Genomic DNA, 15216 nt, shown 5'->3' with positions numbered 1-15216 from the left:
AAACCATTGTAAATTGGGGACTATCTGCTCTTTGCCAGAATTCAGTGCATTTTCAACTTACAATATTTTTTATTTATGATGGGTATATCAGGATGTAGCCTCATCATAAGTAGAGAAGTATTTGTACATGAATAAAATATATATCTATGCACATGTATTTATAGAAAAATCAATTAACATTTTCTTCTTGAACCACATTTTATGAACCTAGGTACTCTTTGGAGTGTATGTATGATACTTTAAAGAACAATCCTGTAAATCACAGATAATTCTTTACTTGTTATCTGCCTTTCAGGAACATTTATCAACTAGTTTTCTCTTCAATTCTTTACTGCCAACATATTATTTTCAAAGGTTCCACATTAAACTACCTTTTAGTGACTAAAAGTTTCCCATTACTTTTTACTCAGTCTCTCATGGTCTTAGAACCTAGGTTTCTGAAGGTTGTTGTCTCTGGCATTTAGATTACCACCTAGACAGAACTTACATTAAATAAACTCAAATTAACTCTTTAACTTAATCTGGTGTTATTTTATATCTTAAGATATCATGACTGACATAGGAAATATAATCAAGCTGATGATGTCAAACTATCTCATTTCCCCTTTATGGCTAGCTCAGATACATTAAATGTTAAAAGAATGAGCCAACACAACTAATTCTGTAGCATCTAAAGCAAGGAAAGTTAGGGTAATCTAATCATTTGTGTTCTTCATGACACATATTGAAGCTATTGTAAAATTCAACTGCTGTGTCTGGTGATATTTGTTCAAGATATTCCCATCAATGACTACCTTTTTGTTCACAACATTTGAATCAGATTTGAATCACCTCTGTCAGGGTCTCCATATACAATGAATCACATTTCAGTCAGACCTCTTCTCTTCTTCATTTGGCTTCCAGCCCACATCAGGGTGCTTCTGCTATATATCATTGCTCCCTCTGGCATTAAATAGCACTAGTTGAGATACAAATCCTTCTATCCAAGATTCACTATTGAGGACTAAAAATTATTGATACACAAAACAACTTGAATGGATATCAACGGAATTACCCTGAATGAAAAAAAAAGCTAATCTCAAAAGGTAAAATACTGTATGATTTTATTTATATAACATTCTTGAAATGGAGAACCAATTACTGGTTGCCAGAATTTATGAAAAGGTTAGAAGGGAAGTAGATATAATTATAAAGGAGCAACCTGAGGGATACTGTAGTGATAGAAATAGTCACATATTAACTGTATACATATTCTGGTTTTGATATTGTACTACAGTTTTGCAACATGTTACCACTGGAGAAAACTGGGTAAAGAGCATTTGTGATTTTGTGTAATTTTTAAAACTTCATGTAAACCTACAATTATCTTAAAATTTTATTAAAAAAAAACCCAGGCTGGGTGTGGTGCTGACACCTGTAATCCCAGCACTTTTCATGGCGGAGGCAGGGGGATTGCTTGACAGCAGGAGTTTGAAACCAGATTGGGTAACATAGCAAGGCCCTATCTCTACAATAAATCAAAAAAACAGAATTAGCTGCGGGTGGTTGTGTGCACTTGTCATCTTAGATACTCAAGAGGCTGAAGTGAAAGGATTGTTTGAGCCCAGGAGTTTGAGGCCACAGCGAGAGGTGATTACACCACTGTACTCCAGCTTGGGTGGCACAGTAAGACCGTATCTCTAAAATATTATACAATAAAATGAAAATAAATAAAGAACAATTTTAAGCAAGTGATGGTAATTATAGCCTAAAATAAAGCCTAGTGAAAGAAAACTACTTATGGTAGCATTTAAGAGGGTTCTAAACCTTGGTAAAGGACATCTTTAGGGCTTAGAAAGCCCTAAAGTGAAACACATCTGCTAGTTACTGGGTATTTGGTTAGCTGAGCACAGGGTTCAGCTGGCTCTCAGCCCTGGGGATACAGAAATGAATATGCTGTACTTTTAAAATATTAACTTTAAAGTATTAAAAAGATTAAGTTTCCAACACATGAACTCTGAGGGACATATTCAAACCTTAGCACTTGCTGAAGAATGTTCTTGATTGACACAGCAGAAATCTATCTTTTAATGTGCGTTTTATTTGGCTTCCTGACTAGGAATATTCTACTATTCTACTCTGAGCCCAGAGAAGTAGATGACAGGGTCTGAATCTATAATGTGGAAAAAGAGAAAATAATAGTCCATGAACACTAAGCTGTCACTCATATTCTGGGGAATGTAGACATTAGATATTCCCAAAGCTAATCATATAGTTACTATAGAAACCAAATAGTTCCTAAATTGTATAAAGGGGACTTTTCATAGCAAAGACCTTACTGCAAAGAATGAATCCTGATACCTTCTAAATTTCATTAGCATTATATTGGCTATAACCCAAGAACTCTGCACTTCCCATGGTGAAATTTTTATATTAAAAAGACAAATTTCTCTTAAGTCTGACAGTGACCTAAAATTAGATCAATGATCAGATAATTCCATGTGATTATCAAGTGCTAACTAGCTTAACTTCATCTATACCCTGAAATATTTAATTCCTTTAGAAAGCTTGACCATATTCAGTGCCTCACTCCAACGTACTAACTGATTTATAACTTTAGAAATTATGGAAAGCTTCTCATATGTTAGTACCACACAACTGAAGGAGTCAACATTCTTGCCTACTTGCTTGCACCTGCTATTAGATATTTTTATTATCCCTACTTGTTTTTGGTTTGCATGCTTCCCATCCATGCCTTTCTTTTAGTGTGTGGCTCAGCTTTGGCTTCTAACAGATAATTCTGATCCATGGCTTTGCCCCTCAGAATTTGAATAGGACTGTACACTACATTACTTGTGTTCTATTGACTTGTCCATAATGACTATATGTGGCAGCTTTTTGCCCCCAGGTCAATCTTATTATTATTTTATCTGGTCATTCAAGCGTCATCTATTTCAGGACCCACTCACTGTTTTGTGTCTGAATTGCTTTCACTCCATGGATGTAAACCTGAAGACTATACAAGATTTTATTGTATTTAGCGCCCAATGAATAAAGAGTATTCTAGGTTTGGTGAGAGATTAAGAAAAAAGCTACTGTTAAAAAAGAATAATAAATCATAGGCACAAAATATGTGACATAAAATAAGTAGAAAAAAGAAAGGGAATGTAACTATTATTAGTATCATACCAGGAGTATCACAAAGATGTCATTTGGTCAATAGATATTCTGTACATGGCAAAATCCTCTCTGCCTTCCACTGAATATGTGCATAGAACTCTTTCAGCTAAAAATAAAAATAATCTTTACTTCCAGCACTTCTAGGCTCTTCCCATACTACATACTCTCAAGAAAGAGACTCCCTACTTATTTGGAGAATCGCTGGTTTCAGGGATGAGGAAATTTCCCAGATATATAAAAATAATTTTTCTTACAATAGAGATTAGCATTTAGCTTTGCTTATTGGGTTTGGTTTCTTTTGTCTCTTTGGCCCAAAAGCTGCTCTCACTACAAAGACTTTGGGCAAGGATCCAGGCAGCCTCTTTTTACCTCATGACCCAGTATTCCCTGAGTGTGGAAAAACAGCCACACAACTATACAGTCTCTTCAGAATGGAACATAGAGAGGTGAGAGGGATTAGGGAGTAATCATTTTGCCACAAATCCACAAAACCAAGGCATGCATTTAGGATGTTCTTGTTGCTTTGCAATAATTATGCTTCCCATCATAGTTGGGGAGAAAAGGAAGTCAGGGTGCAGGGAGTTAGTCATCCCAGAAAAAGAAAGCAAAATTGACCCTTCAAAAATGATATAAAATAAAATCCAGTTTAAGTGATCACATTCATGGTTGTGAATCCTGTGCCTCTCTCATATTTTACATATTTTACATACGACTTGACTCTCTAATTATACCAGGGTTCAATACATGATTTCTGTGAAGATTGCCTCTGTATGTATGTGAAGAATTCTTGATTTAATATCCTGTATCTGACATAAGGTTAGGCCAAATATTCTTCTCGGTAGTTTGACATTTCCATTATTGTTTTTGGCATAGCAAATTCAGGAAAATAATACCTGTTAGCGCTATGGTGGCCTTACAATAATGTTCTCACATTATTCAGTTACATATAAAGTAGTGAGTGAATGATTTATCATTAATCCCTCATAAAAAGGAGAATTAATGTAAGCTGATTAAAGAGATTGAGTTCCCAGGGAGAAAAAAAAATCTGTACTCAGGTTGTTCCAAAAGGAAAAGGAATATATCCCTGTTGAGGTATAAAGACTTTGTCTTTTAAGCCAGAGGGGGTAAATCTTTTCCTTATTTCCTAAGGCAAGGTTCATTGCCTTTTTGTTCTTCTTAATTACCTTTTTACGTCTCCTTGATTACACCTTTTCCATCCTTAGAGCAACGCTTCTCAGTGCATTCTCCAATGTAAAATCAAATGTCCTACCTATTTTGAAAGTGCTGCTTTGCATCAATTCTAAAACTTCTACTGTATGTTAAGTATGAAATTCTAAAAATTATTCAGACTTTCTCTGTTCATAGCTTAGAATATTACATAGTTGCCTGCCTGGCTTAGAAATGTAATTACTTCCTGCCTGCCTTAGAAATACAATTACTTCCAACAAATTTTCTCATTATTTTAGATTTTTTTAACTGTGTTCCTCTAATCAAGTGAAACATGCAAACAGGAAATTTATTCTTCCTAGGTTAAAAAAAAATACGTATTTTGAAATGGGAAAGCTATCCACAATGTGGCAAGCAAGGGGCATGTTTCAGCCCTGTTTGTGTTACAGCACTTCTTTTAGACTTGCCATTCAGTGGGTCCTGAGTTACTGTCCTGTAACCAGGAAGAATGAGGTATGCAGACAAATGGAGAATGAGCAAGATGAAGAGGAGCTTTATTGAGCAATAGAACAGCTCAGAGAAGACCCACAGTGGGAAGCTTCTCTTTGTAGCCAAGTTGTCCCGACAAGTGTTCAGCTCCTAGCAGAGAAGGTAGCTCTTCTCTGCAGGCAAGCATCCCAACAAGTTTCAGCTATCAGCAGAGAGCTTAGCTTCTCTCTCTGCAGCTGGTCATCCCATCCTCTCTCCATCCTCTCCTCTGCTCTGGCTGAGCCTGGGGGTTTTATGGGCCTCAGTGGGGGAGAAAGTGTGCATTGACTGATCCATGGGCAGCCATGGGCAGGCCTGGAAAAGGCACCACAAGTCCCTACTTTAGTTTGAGCAACTACCAGCCCAGCTCTGTTGGCTTGAAGTTGGGCCTCACTGGGGACTGGTCCCCTTCCACCCAGGAGCCAATCTGTTTCCTGCTGCTGTCCATGGCATCCAGGCTGCTTGTGCCAAGGGGCATCTGCAGGCCAGCGCCAAGCAACCCTCTGTCCCACCAATCTGGTTCCCCTTCACCCCCCAAGACACACACCTGCCCAAGGTGGCAGGGCCTGAGGGTGCATACACCCAGCCAGGCTGTGACAGTGACTGGGCTTGGCCCCAACTCTGCTTCAAGATCAGAGTGGGCACTGGGAGTGCAGAGAGGCCAGCCAGTAGGAGCAGGCACTTCTGAGCCAGCAAGGGAAGGATGGTGCCTTCCTGGACCCATAAGAGCACACAGAGGCCCGGTTCTACAACCCTGACTGGAAGGGCAGGGCTGCGGCCTGCTCCCAGCTCCTACTGGCTCCACGGAGCATGCATTCTGGCTGTGCCCCTGTGCAGCCTGGGCCGGGAGCTCCATATCCTCACTGGAGCAGGGCCTGCATTCGGGGCATGGGCAACATTGCCAAGAGCTTCCCCTATTTCCCGGGTGCTCCCAGGTGGCCCAGGATGGAGCAGATCGTGGGCTGCAGGCCCTGGGCCCAGCCATCGGGGGTGTCAGGCTCAGCAGTCACCCATGGCAGGGCAGAACCCAGGGATGTGACTCCACACAGAGCCTCCTCTACAGGCACAGGAACCAGGCACCCTTGGAAGGGTGGGTGCAGTTGCTGCGCCACTGGCCATGTCCCGTAAGCAGTCACTGCTCCCAGTTCCCACCCCTGGTCCCAGAAGCATGGCCCCAGCTCCACACCCCAGGCTTCGCCCCCGTGGTCCATGTGCAAGTGCCGCACAGCCCCAGGCCCAGCTCCGCCTTCGGGCCCCTCTCTTCCTGACTGCACTGCTCCCCCATCAGAGGTCAGCCCAGCCCAGCCCCATTGAAGCGGCCCCAAGGGCTGTGGGCTGTGGGATGGCTGGCCACCTCCTTCCCATGACCTCCCTGCAGTGGCCAAAGTGATGGCAGCAGCTGCTCCAGATGGCCCTGGCTGCCATCATTTTGAATATACCAATATGTTATTTTTTTGGCTTAAAATATGCTAGATTTCAGACTTTTTTTTGTACAATAACAGTGGGACATCAAACACTTAAAATTGATAGAAAATACAATCGTCTTTCAACTGTGAACAAAATATGAATCACATTCTACATTATTGCTGTGAAGTACGGCTCTTCACACGGCTTTCCTCACACGGCGGTCCTCACAAGGGGCACCGGTTGAGGTATTGCTCTTCACACTTCCTTCGCAGCTTGCCCCACGAGGGGCTCTATCTGCGGGGAGTCTGTTTCTGCAGACCCCTAACGTTCCTCACACGGTTCCTCACATGGTTCCTCACACGGGGCACCAGTTGAGGTGGCACTCCTCACACTTGAGGGCATCAGCTGCGGGAGTCTGCCCGCAGACCCTGACCCAAACGACGGATGAATAAAACATACACTGACACACAGATGTTCTGCTTTGCCAGTCCTGTTTAGTGTCCGGCCGCCTACACACCAAGAGAGGTTTGTCACTGCGGCCGAACCTGAGCAGTTCACAATTCAGGCATTTATTTAGTATACAATTAACAACAGAAGCTTTGAAGTCAACACACTTGTGGATAAGTAATGGTTAAGAGAGTATTTCTAAGAGCGATTAAAGCTCAGGTGTCCGCGGTCTAAGGTAAATACCATTAGGGGGCAATATGCCTAGTAGACCTCCCCCCAGAGGGCCATCTGGCTCAAAGGTTAGTTAATGGAGGTAGGGTAAACAGACTTAACTGAGGGAGCCTCTATTGTCCCTAGTATTTACCCTATGACCTAATGCTTTAAGGTAAGAACCGGCTACCTTCAGCCTGTTCAATTATTACAAGCTATGTAACCTTTTGGCCCTCCAAAATGTTTGTGACTGTTCCCTATAACTTTCCCTCATATTTCCCCTTAATATTTCTGCCACCATCCTGAGTGAATCCCAACATAGCTGCGCTATAAACACAGCATCCACAGTAAAGAAAACAATGCTATGAGCTATAATAACCACACACTCAAAATTTCCCATAATAGCTTTCATTTCAGATATTTTTTTTCTTTCCCTCATATGTATGTGAGTAGGTTTTAGGCTATGTCACCAGTATTTTGATTCAGAAAACAATGGCACTGCACTTACAATTCTTAGACTTAGAAGAAAAATAACACTGTAGGCATTAAAATATTCAGTATTGTCCATTTACATCACTCAGTTGGAATGGAAGTGTTCAAATGGTTTTATCTGAAATGTACATTTAATGTAAAACATTTGATATACAAATGATGTGAAGGGACTTTTATTGATAAATACAGTAATCTATGATTTTAATATTTAAGTCCTTTTTAAATCTCAACTATTCTAAAGTTAGAAAAATCATCAAGAGCTCTAATTTAAGATGAAGGAATTTTAATTGACTGGAATTAGCAGAATTAGTGGTTGAGTCATTGAGCTTGGCATGATCCTGATCTCTACTAAAAAATGAGATAGTTTTGCTTTGAGTATCTCACAATCAACTAAGACAAATAATAAGACAGTTACTCTGATATCATTCTAAGTACAGCCACATGATGCTTCTAAAGGTAAAATGAGAATATAAGGAATAGATATTTAAGGTTAAGATTGTAAGTGATTGCTCAAAGTAATTGTCCTACTGTGTTGCAATGAATGGTATATAATCATTTTAATTGTGATATTAATTAATTCAGCAAACTAATAACCTACTGCTACGTAATTTTAAATAGGCACTCTCCAGTTGATAACTTGATAACTATAAAGTGTGCAACATGTTCCATAAATTCAATGATCATAAAAGATTAATACGTGTGTGTGTGTGCACAAGTACACACACAAAGTAAAGTAACTTCAGGCAATATCTTGTGATATTTATTGCCTATGCGGAATCCAAAGAAAGTAAATCAAAAACTAATGTTACTGCTAAGAAATAAAAACAGGAATAAAATATGTATGATATAATTTCATAATATTTTATCCAAAATAGCAATATTTACCAAAATTAAAGCTATGTAAATAAAGAGAATTCTGAAGGAATCATTGTCAGGAATTTTTCTCTAACGCATATTTTTCTATTTTTGATTTTCACTTCTTTCCATCAATCAGTTAATGAACATGGTGTCTATATTTTTATCGCTTTATTAGTCATTGTTAAAAGAACAAAAAAATGCAGAGCACATGACTTGTTTTTCTTTGGGGAGCTTACAAATGAATGCATCAAAATGAACTGTGAGACTACATATTAAATGTTCACTTGTGTTGTTCAAACATTACATATCTCAGGAATTCTGATATGTTATTTATTTCAGCTGTAAGAGACAGAGTGCATATTGTACACTGACACCCCTTTTGCCTCTAGAAAGAGAATGAGAAGAGTATTTTAATTTAGAATTTTAAAAAATTAATGTGTTCTAAACAGTTAAACTCTGCTTTGTATGTGGAAAGACAGGGACTAAGAAGATGTGGGGAGAATTACTAGAATCAGAACAATAGCTAGGTTAAAATAATATATATAAAATATTACATTCTAAAAGAGGAATCTATTTTTAAAATAATTGTAAAGAATTTGTGTGTGTGTGTATGTGTGTGGTGTGTGTGTGTGAGGGAGAGAGGGTGAGAGAGAGAGACAAAGAGACAGAGCATGCCGTGTTTTACACAGGGTCTCCCACAAGACTACTGCATGAAAACTGAGAAAGATAAATTTATCTTTCATTCCTTCCATTTCTTTACCTTCCATAGGGAGATAAAATTTATCAATAATAGAAACTAGCATTTGTCTGTTAGATCATTTTTAACAAGCATAGAATTACGCATAATTTATTGAACAATTTAAACCAAAAATTACTAACCTTATGAATCCTACACATTAGTATGGTCTGGGGGTTCTAATTTTTCAAAGCGAAAAAAAACATGTGAGATACTCTGTCAAAGAAAGTGGAAAGCATCTTACATTTAAAAAAATCTTAACCATGACCTTTAAGAAGTACCATATTTATGTAAATATGAGGTTTTATAACTTCAACTAAAAGTTATGGAGGTTCCTTAAATAATTTTAAGAAATTTGATCATGGCCAGATTCACTTTTTTCAAAGATAAGTTTAGTTACTATGGCTTATAAGTTAACATACCTGGTTATATTGGGAAAATTAGAAGATTACTGTAATGATATTAATCAAAATTGCGATGACTTATCTAAACAAACTGACAAAAGACTCATATAAAGGAAAAGATGGAAATAATAATGAATAATTGGAAATTCATTTTATTACCAGTATTCATGTTACCTTGATAATAGAAATTCACTCATTAATTTAGATCTTCTTAGTATCTTTACAGTTTCATATTTTCTCCATATTTCACATGATGTTATATTTATTTTTATTTTAATAATTTTGTAGATTATCAATATTTTAAACATAATCTATGTTTTGTTGATAGTGTGAAAATACAATTTCTTTTTGGTATGTTGTTCTTTAGACAACAAACTTGCCGAAGCATCTTAGTCATCTAATAATTGGTCAGTGTCATCTTTTTAGCTTTCCAATGATAGCATCTTCCAATGATAAAATTTTATTTTTTCATTCCAATTTATATGCATTATGATTTGTTTTCTTCTCTTATTTTAGCAGCAGAGACCTTTCACTATAGTATCATATGGCATGGTTTTATTGCCCTAAAAATCCTCTGTGTTCTGCCCCTTCATCCCTCCCTTCCCCTTAGCCCTTGGCAATTACTGACATTTTTACCATCTCCATAGTTTTGCCTTTTCCAGAATATTATATAGTTGGAATCATAGAGTATATAGCCTTTTCAGATTGACTTCTTTCACTTATTAATATACATTTAAGTTTTCTACATTTTTAATGGCTTGTTAGCTGATTTCTTTTAAGCATTGAATAATATTCCATTGTCTGGATGTACCATAATTTATTAATTCACCTACTGAAGGACATGTTGTTTGCCTGCAAGTTTTGTCAACTACGAATAAAGTCGCAATAAATACCTGTGTACAGGTTTTTGAGAGGAAATATTTTCAACTACCTTGGGTAAATAAAGAGCTAGATTTCTGGATCACGTGGTAAGCATATTTCTAGTTTTATAACGAATTGTCTTCCAAAATGTCTGTACAATTTTGCATTTCCACCAGCAATGAACTCAAGTTCTTATTGCTTTTCATCCTCTTAAGCATTAGGTGTTGCCATTCTAATATCTGTGTAGTGGTATATGCATTTCCATGATGACTAATATCTTTTCCTATGCCTGTTTCCCATCTGTATATCCTATTTGGTGAGGTGTATGTTAAGGTCTTTGGCCCATTTTTCATCAAGTTATTTGTTTTCTTATTCTTGAGCTTTAGGAATTCTTTGTACATTTTGTATAATAGTCTTGTATCAGCTATATATTTTTTGAAAATATATTTTTCCCATTCCATAGTTTGTCTGTTCATCTCTTGACAGTATTTTTAATAGGACAGAAACTTTTAATTCTAAAGAAGTCTAGCTTATTAATTATTTCTTTCAGGGATCATGCCTTTGGTGTCATATCCAAAAAATGTCACCATACTCAAGGTCATTTAGATTTTCTCCTATGTTATCTTCTAGGAGTTTTATAGTTTTACGTTTTACATTTAGATCTGTGATTCATTTTTGTTAAGTTTGGTGAAAGGTGTAGTAATGTCTGTGTCTAGTAGCCTACAATTTTAGAATGATCATAGCTTTCTAGTGAGTTGAAATATACATATATATATATATCACTATATGACCTGCTTTTCCATCGAAATTGTGTGTGTTCTTATTTTACCTGATGTTAATATGGCTAACATAATTTATCTTTGATTAGTATTTTGCAAGTATCATAACAGTCTTGAACTTTTAGTCTGTTTTTATGTTACAGGTATTTTACTCTAAAATACTTTTATTGTATTTTTTGATGTAATAGTCTATATTTTAGGTGGTAAAATTAAATCCTTTTAAATATTTTTCAAAAACATATACATTTGAATTTATTTCTACCATTTTATTTTATACTTTCTATTTGTTCTTATTTTATTCAACTCGTCTCCATCGTCTTCCTCTTTCTCCATTATTTCTTTATTCTTTTGAATTATTTTTTCTCTAATCTTATTTCTACCTCTACTTGTTTGGAAGTTATATGGTTTCTTTTTTTAATTTTTTTTTGTTTCAGTAGCTTCTCTCAAAATTATCCGTGTACAATTAACAAAGTTAAAAAATAATCATGGCACACGTTTACCTATGTAACATACCTACACATCCTGCACATGTACCCCGGAACTTAAAGTACAAGTTGAAGAAAAATAAACAAATAAATAAAAATAATCAAACTCTTTAAATTTTGCTTCTGAATAATAGAATAAAATTATAATTTGTCTTAACATGCTACATATCCCTTCAATTAACATTTTGGTGCACACAATTTGAATTTCACAGATATTTTCTCACAGTCCTAGAAATATGTTACTCTATACCTTCTGGCCTCTATTGTTCAATAGACAGCACTATGTTCTGAATGACTACTATGGTCTGAATATTTGTGATGATTTCTATTGCAAGCAACACTCCCAAAAGTGTACCCATGAGACCAGACTCCATTAGTGTTCAGCCAGAGCAATATTGGGAAAAGAAAAGATACAGCTTCATATTAAGGAAGTTCTAGTAATTATGAAGCGATATGTTTGACTTCACTCTCAACTCATAAACACTCCTCATTTTCAGACAGTGTCAGAGAAGGATAACATCTGTTCCTGCATGTTTCTGACAATCAGTTTGCATGATATCTGTGCCCTATTCACATCCCCTTGTTAGATAGCCGCTAAAGATTATAACAGGAAGCCTAACAAATCAAAACCGTAGCTTACCTCAGAAATTCATGGTATAGTTTTCTTTGAAAAGCAAATACATTTTTAATAAAATATAAGCCACAATTTCTAGAGGATATACAGGGTCCACAGTAAGAGCTTCTACATCTGAGGCACTGTGATGGCTTCAAAATTCCCGAGAGTAAATTTAGTAAGAACAAATATGAACAGTGCAGGGAATAACAGAGGCTGTGGATGTTTATGGTATATGAGTTTTTGAGTTGAGGTGTTATGAGAAAAGTGGAAGAATAGTAAGAAAACCGGAGAAAGTGAAGGAAGTGCACACACAATGAAATTTTATCTGTACATGTAGGTATATAGTAGTAGCATGAATGGAGTGCTAGCATGAATGGAGTTTTCTAGCACAATGCAGTGAAAAAACCAAATGTGTTCTAAGAACAGACCTCTAAAGAAGAGTAGCTGTAGCACAGTTGAGGAGGAAGCCAGTCACAGTGACATTCTCATAGAGATACAGTCCCTACTGTCATGAACAATGTTCTTTGTGAGCATGACTATATCTGGGTCATTAAAAGTTCTACTAAATAGCCTATTTTGCCTCATAACCCACTGCTCAGAAGCCATCTTCATTGTTCTGGCTTCTCCTGTTACTTAATGAGAAAGTGAATGCAAAAATAATAATTACAAAATACTATACTTGCATAATACTGACCATCAGTGATAGTACTAAGTGCTTCACAAGCATTATCTTTGAAAATATGCGCACCATCTCTGTGTATTAGGTATAGTATCATCCCCATTAATATATAATAAAATGATTTATTTCAGTTTTAGTAAAATTAAGGTGATATTATGTAGTACAGCTGTTGAGCTTTCCAAGTTTACATTAAATAACTTAAGATACATGAGACCTTTTAGGTTTCTGTATATTTTTAAAGAAATAAAGAGGTGGGTCTAGAGTTAATTTTGTGTCACCTGGCTATACAATGTTTAACTGACATAGGTGGTTTAATATATACCCTGTACCTATCATAGTGTACTCATAAAATAATAAACTTTAACCAGTAAATAAACACAGAATAGTGATTCAGACTTCTAGCATAGCTAGCCCATTTTTAATCTTTCCTGAAGAGCTGTAACTTCATGGCCAGTATCTCCAAAGGTGAAGAGTTAACAGAGGGAGGAGTAATGGGGTAAAGGTTGGAGATATTAAAGCGCAAATTACATGTTAATACAAATATAATTTTTATGTTTTACTGAAGCCACCTAAGAGATCTCAGGGTAAAAACACACTCTTTTAAGAGAGCTTTTGTTGTTTCTTTTTCGTGAAATGGAAACCACAGGCAGATATATGGGCAATAGAGGCAGCTGCTCACCTTTCCTAAGGCTATGAAAAGAATAAAAGGGCCATCTGTGTCTCCCCTTGCTTCTTCCTAACCTTGGCATAAAAAGGAGAGGTAGTCCTGCAACTCAATCCCTTTTATGGTAAACAAGAAGCAGGTGAGCCTCCCTGTATTTTTGTGAGTTAGAGTGTGAATGTTGGTCTGATTCCCAAGAAAGTAGTAACTCTCTTATCCTCTTTTTTTCTGCTGAGAAAAGGATTGTGAGTGTATGTGTGCTGTAGGTAGAACTGCGTGTGTATAAGTGGGGAAAAAGAACATATGTATAAATGGGCATAAGGTAACGAGCTTTGTTATTTCCTTCTCCAGGGGCAAGAAACAGGCCAGAAGTAAATAGAAAAATTATAGCCCTCAAACAGGTCTTCTTTCTTTGGCAGCTAAGAAAGTAAGCACTCATGTAATTCCCAAGATTACTACAATTTTGGTACTGAGACATTCATTGTCTAGTGTTCTGTAGACTCATTTTTATTAACAATGAGAAAGAAAGAAAAAAATACATACCCATTTGCTTAGCCCCAAGAACCTTGTCTGGCCTAACCAGATACCTCTCCCTTTCTTGAGAAAGAAGTGAATATATTGGTTGGTGGCAGTTGTGTATGAGAATTTACTTTTGTGCTCATTTTGGTTTCAATTGTGTTTACACAACAAGCAACAAGTAGGTTGGAGAATCTTGATCTGAACTCAAGTCTGTCTTTCTGATACTGGAGTTCATGATCTCACCACTGTACTGTTTCCATTGAAGGTTGATTAGTTGGTTTGGGGTGAAATAAATAATTAGAGATAAAACAATTGTGATAACAATTACATGATTGTATTTACCAGGTACAATTGGCTCAATAAAATTAATCTGTTTTCTATACCTAGGACTAAAAACTCCTATTATATGTCACATAACTCTGTGATTATTAACATATTCCTAACAGCCTTTCATTTAGAAATACCTTTACTGAGTACATTCTAAAGGCTAGGATCAGTCTTAGTCTATAGTACCAGTGTTACAGAAAAGGGGTCCCAATCCAGATCCCAAGAGAGGGTTCTTGGCTCTCACACAAGAAAGAATTCAGGCCTAGTCCACAGCACAAAGCAAAAGCAAGTTTATTAATAAAGTAAAGGAGGCTGGGCTTTGGTGGCTCACACCTCTAATCCCAGCACTTTGAGAGGCCGAGGAGGGTGGCTCACTTGAGGTCAGGAGTTTGAGACCAGCCTGGCCAACATGGTGAAATCCTATCTCTACTAGAAACACAAAAAATTATCCAAGCGTGGTGGTGCTTGCTTGTAATCCTGTTACTTGGGAGGTTGAGGCAGGAGAATCGCTTGAACCCAGGAGACAGAGTTTGCTGTGAGCTGAGATCATACCACTACACTCCAGCCTGGATGACCAAAAAAACAGAAAAAAAAGAAAAGTTTTTTTAAAAAAAGAAAGTGAAGGAATAAAAGAATGGCTACTCCACAGCCAGAGCAGCCCTGGGGGCTGCTGGTTGCCCATTTTTCATTTTTGTAGTTATTTCTTGATGATATGCTGAACAAGGGGTGGATTATTCATGCCTCACATTTTCAGACCATATAGGGTAACATCCTGACATTGCCACGGCATTTGTAAACTGTCATAGCACTGGTAGGAGCATAGCAGTGAGGATAACCAGAGGTCACTCTCGTCACCATCTTGGCTTTGGTGAGTTTTAGCC

The sequence above is a fragment of the Homo sapiens genome, chromosome 4, assembly GCF_000001405.40.
Source record: "Homo sapiens chromosome 4, GRCh38.p14 Primary Assembly".
Classification (NCBI taxonomy): Eukaryota; Metazoa; Chordata; class Mammalia; order Primates; family Hominidae; genus Homo; species Homo sapiens.
The sequence above is the reverse complement of the archived record's forward strand: the minus strand, read 5'-3'. Positions refer to the sequence as shown.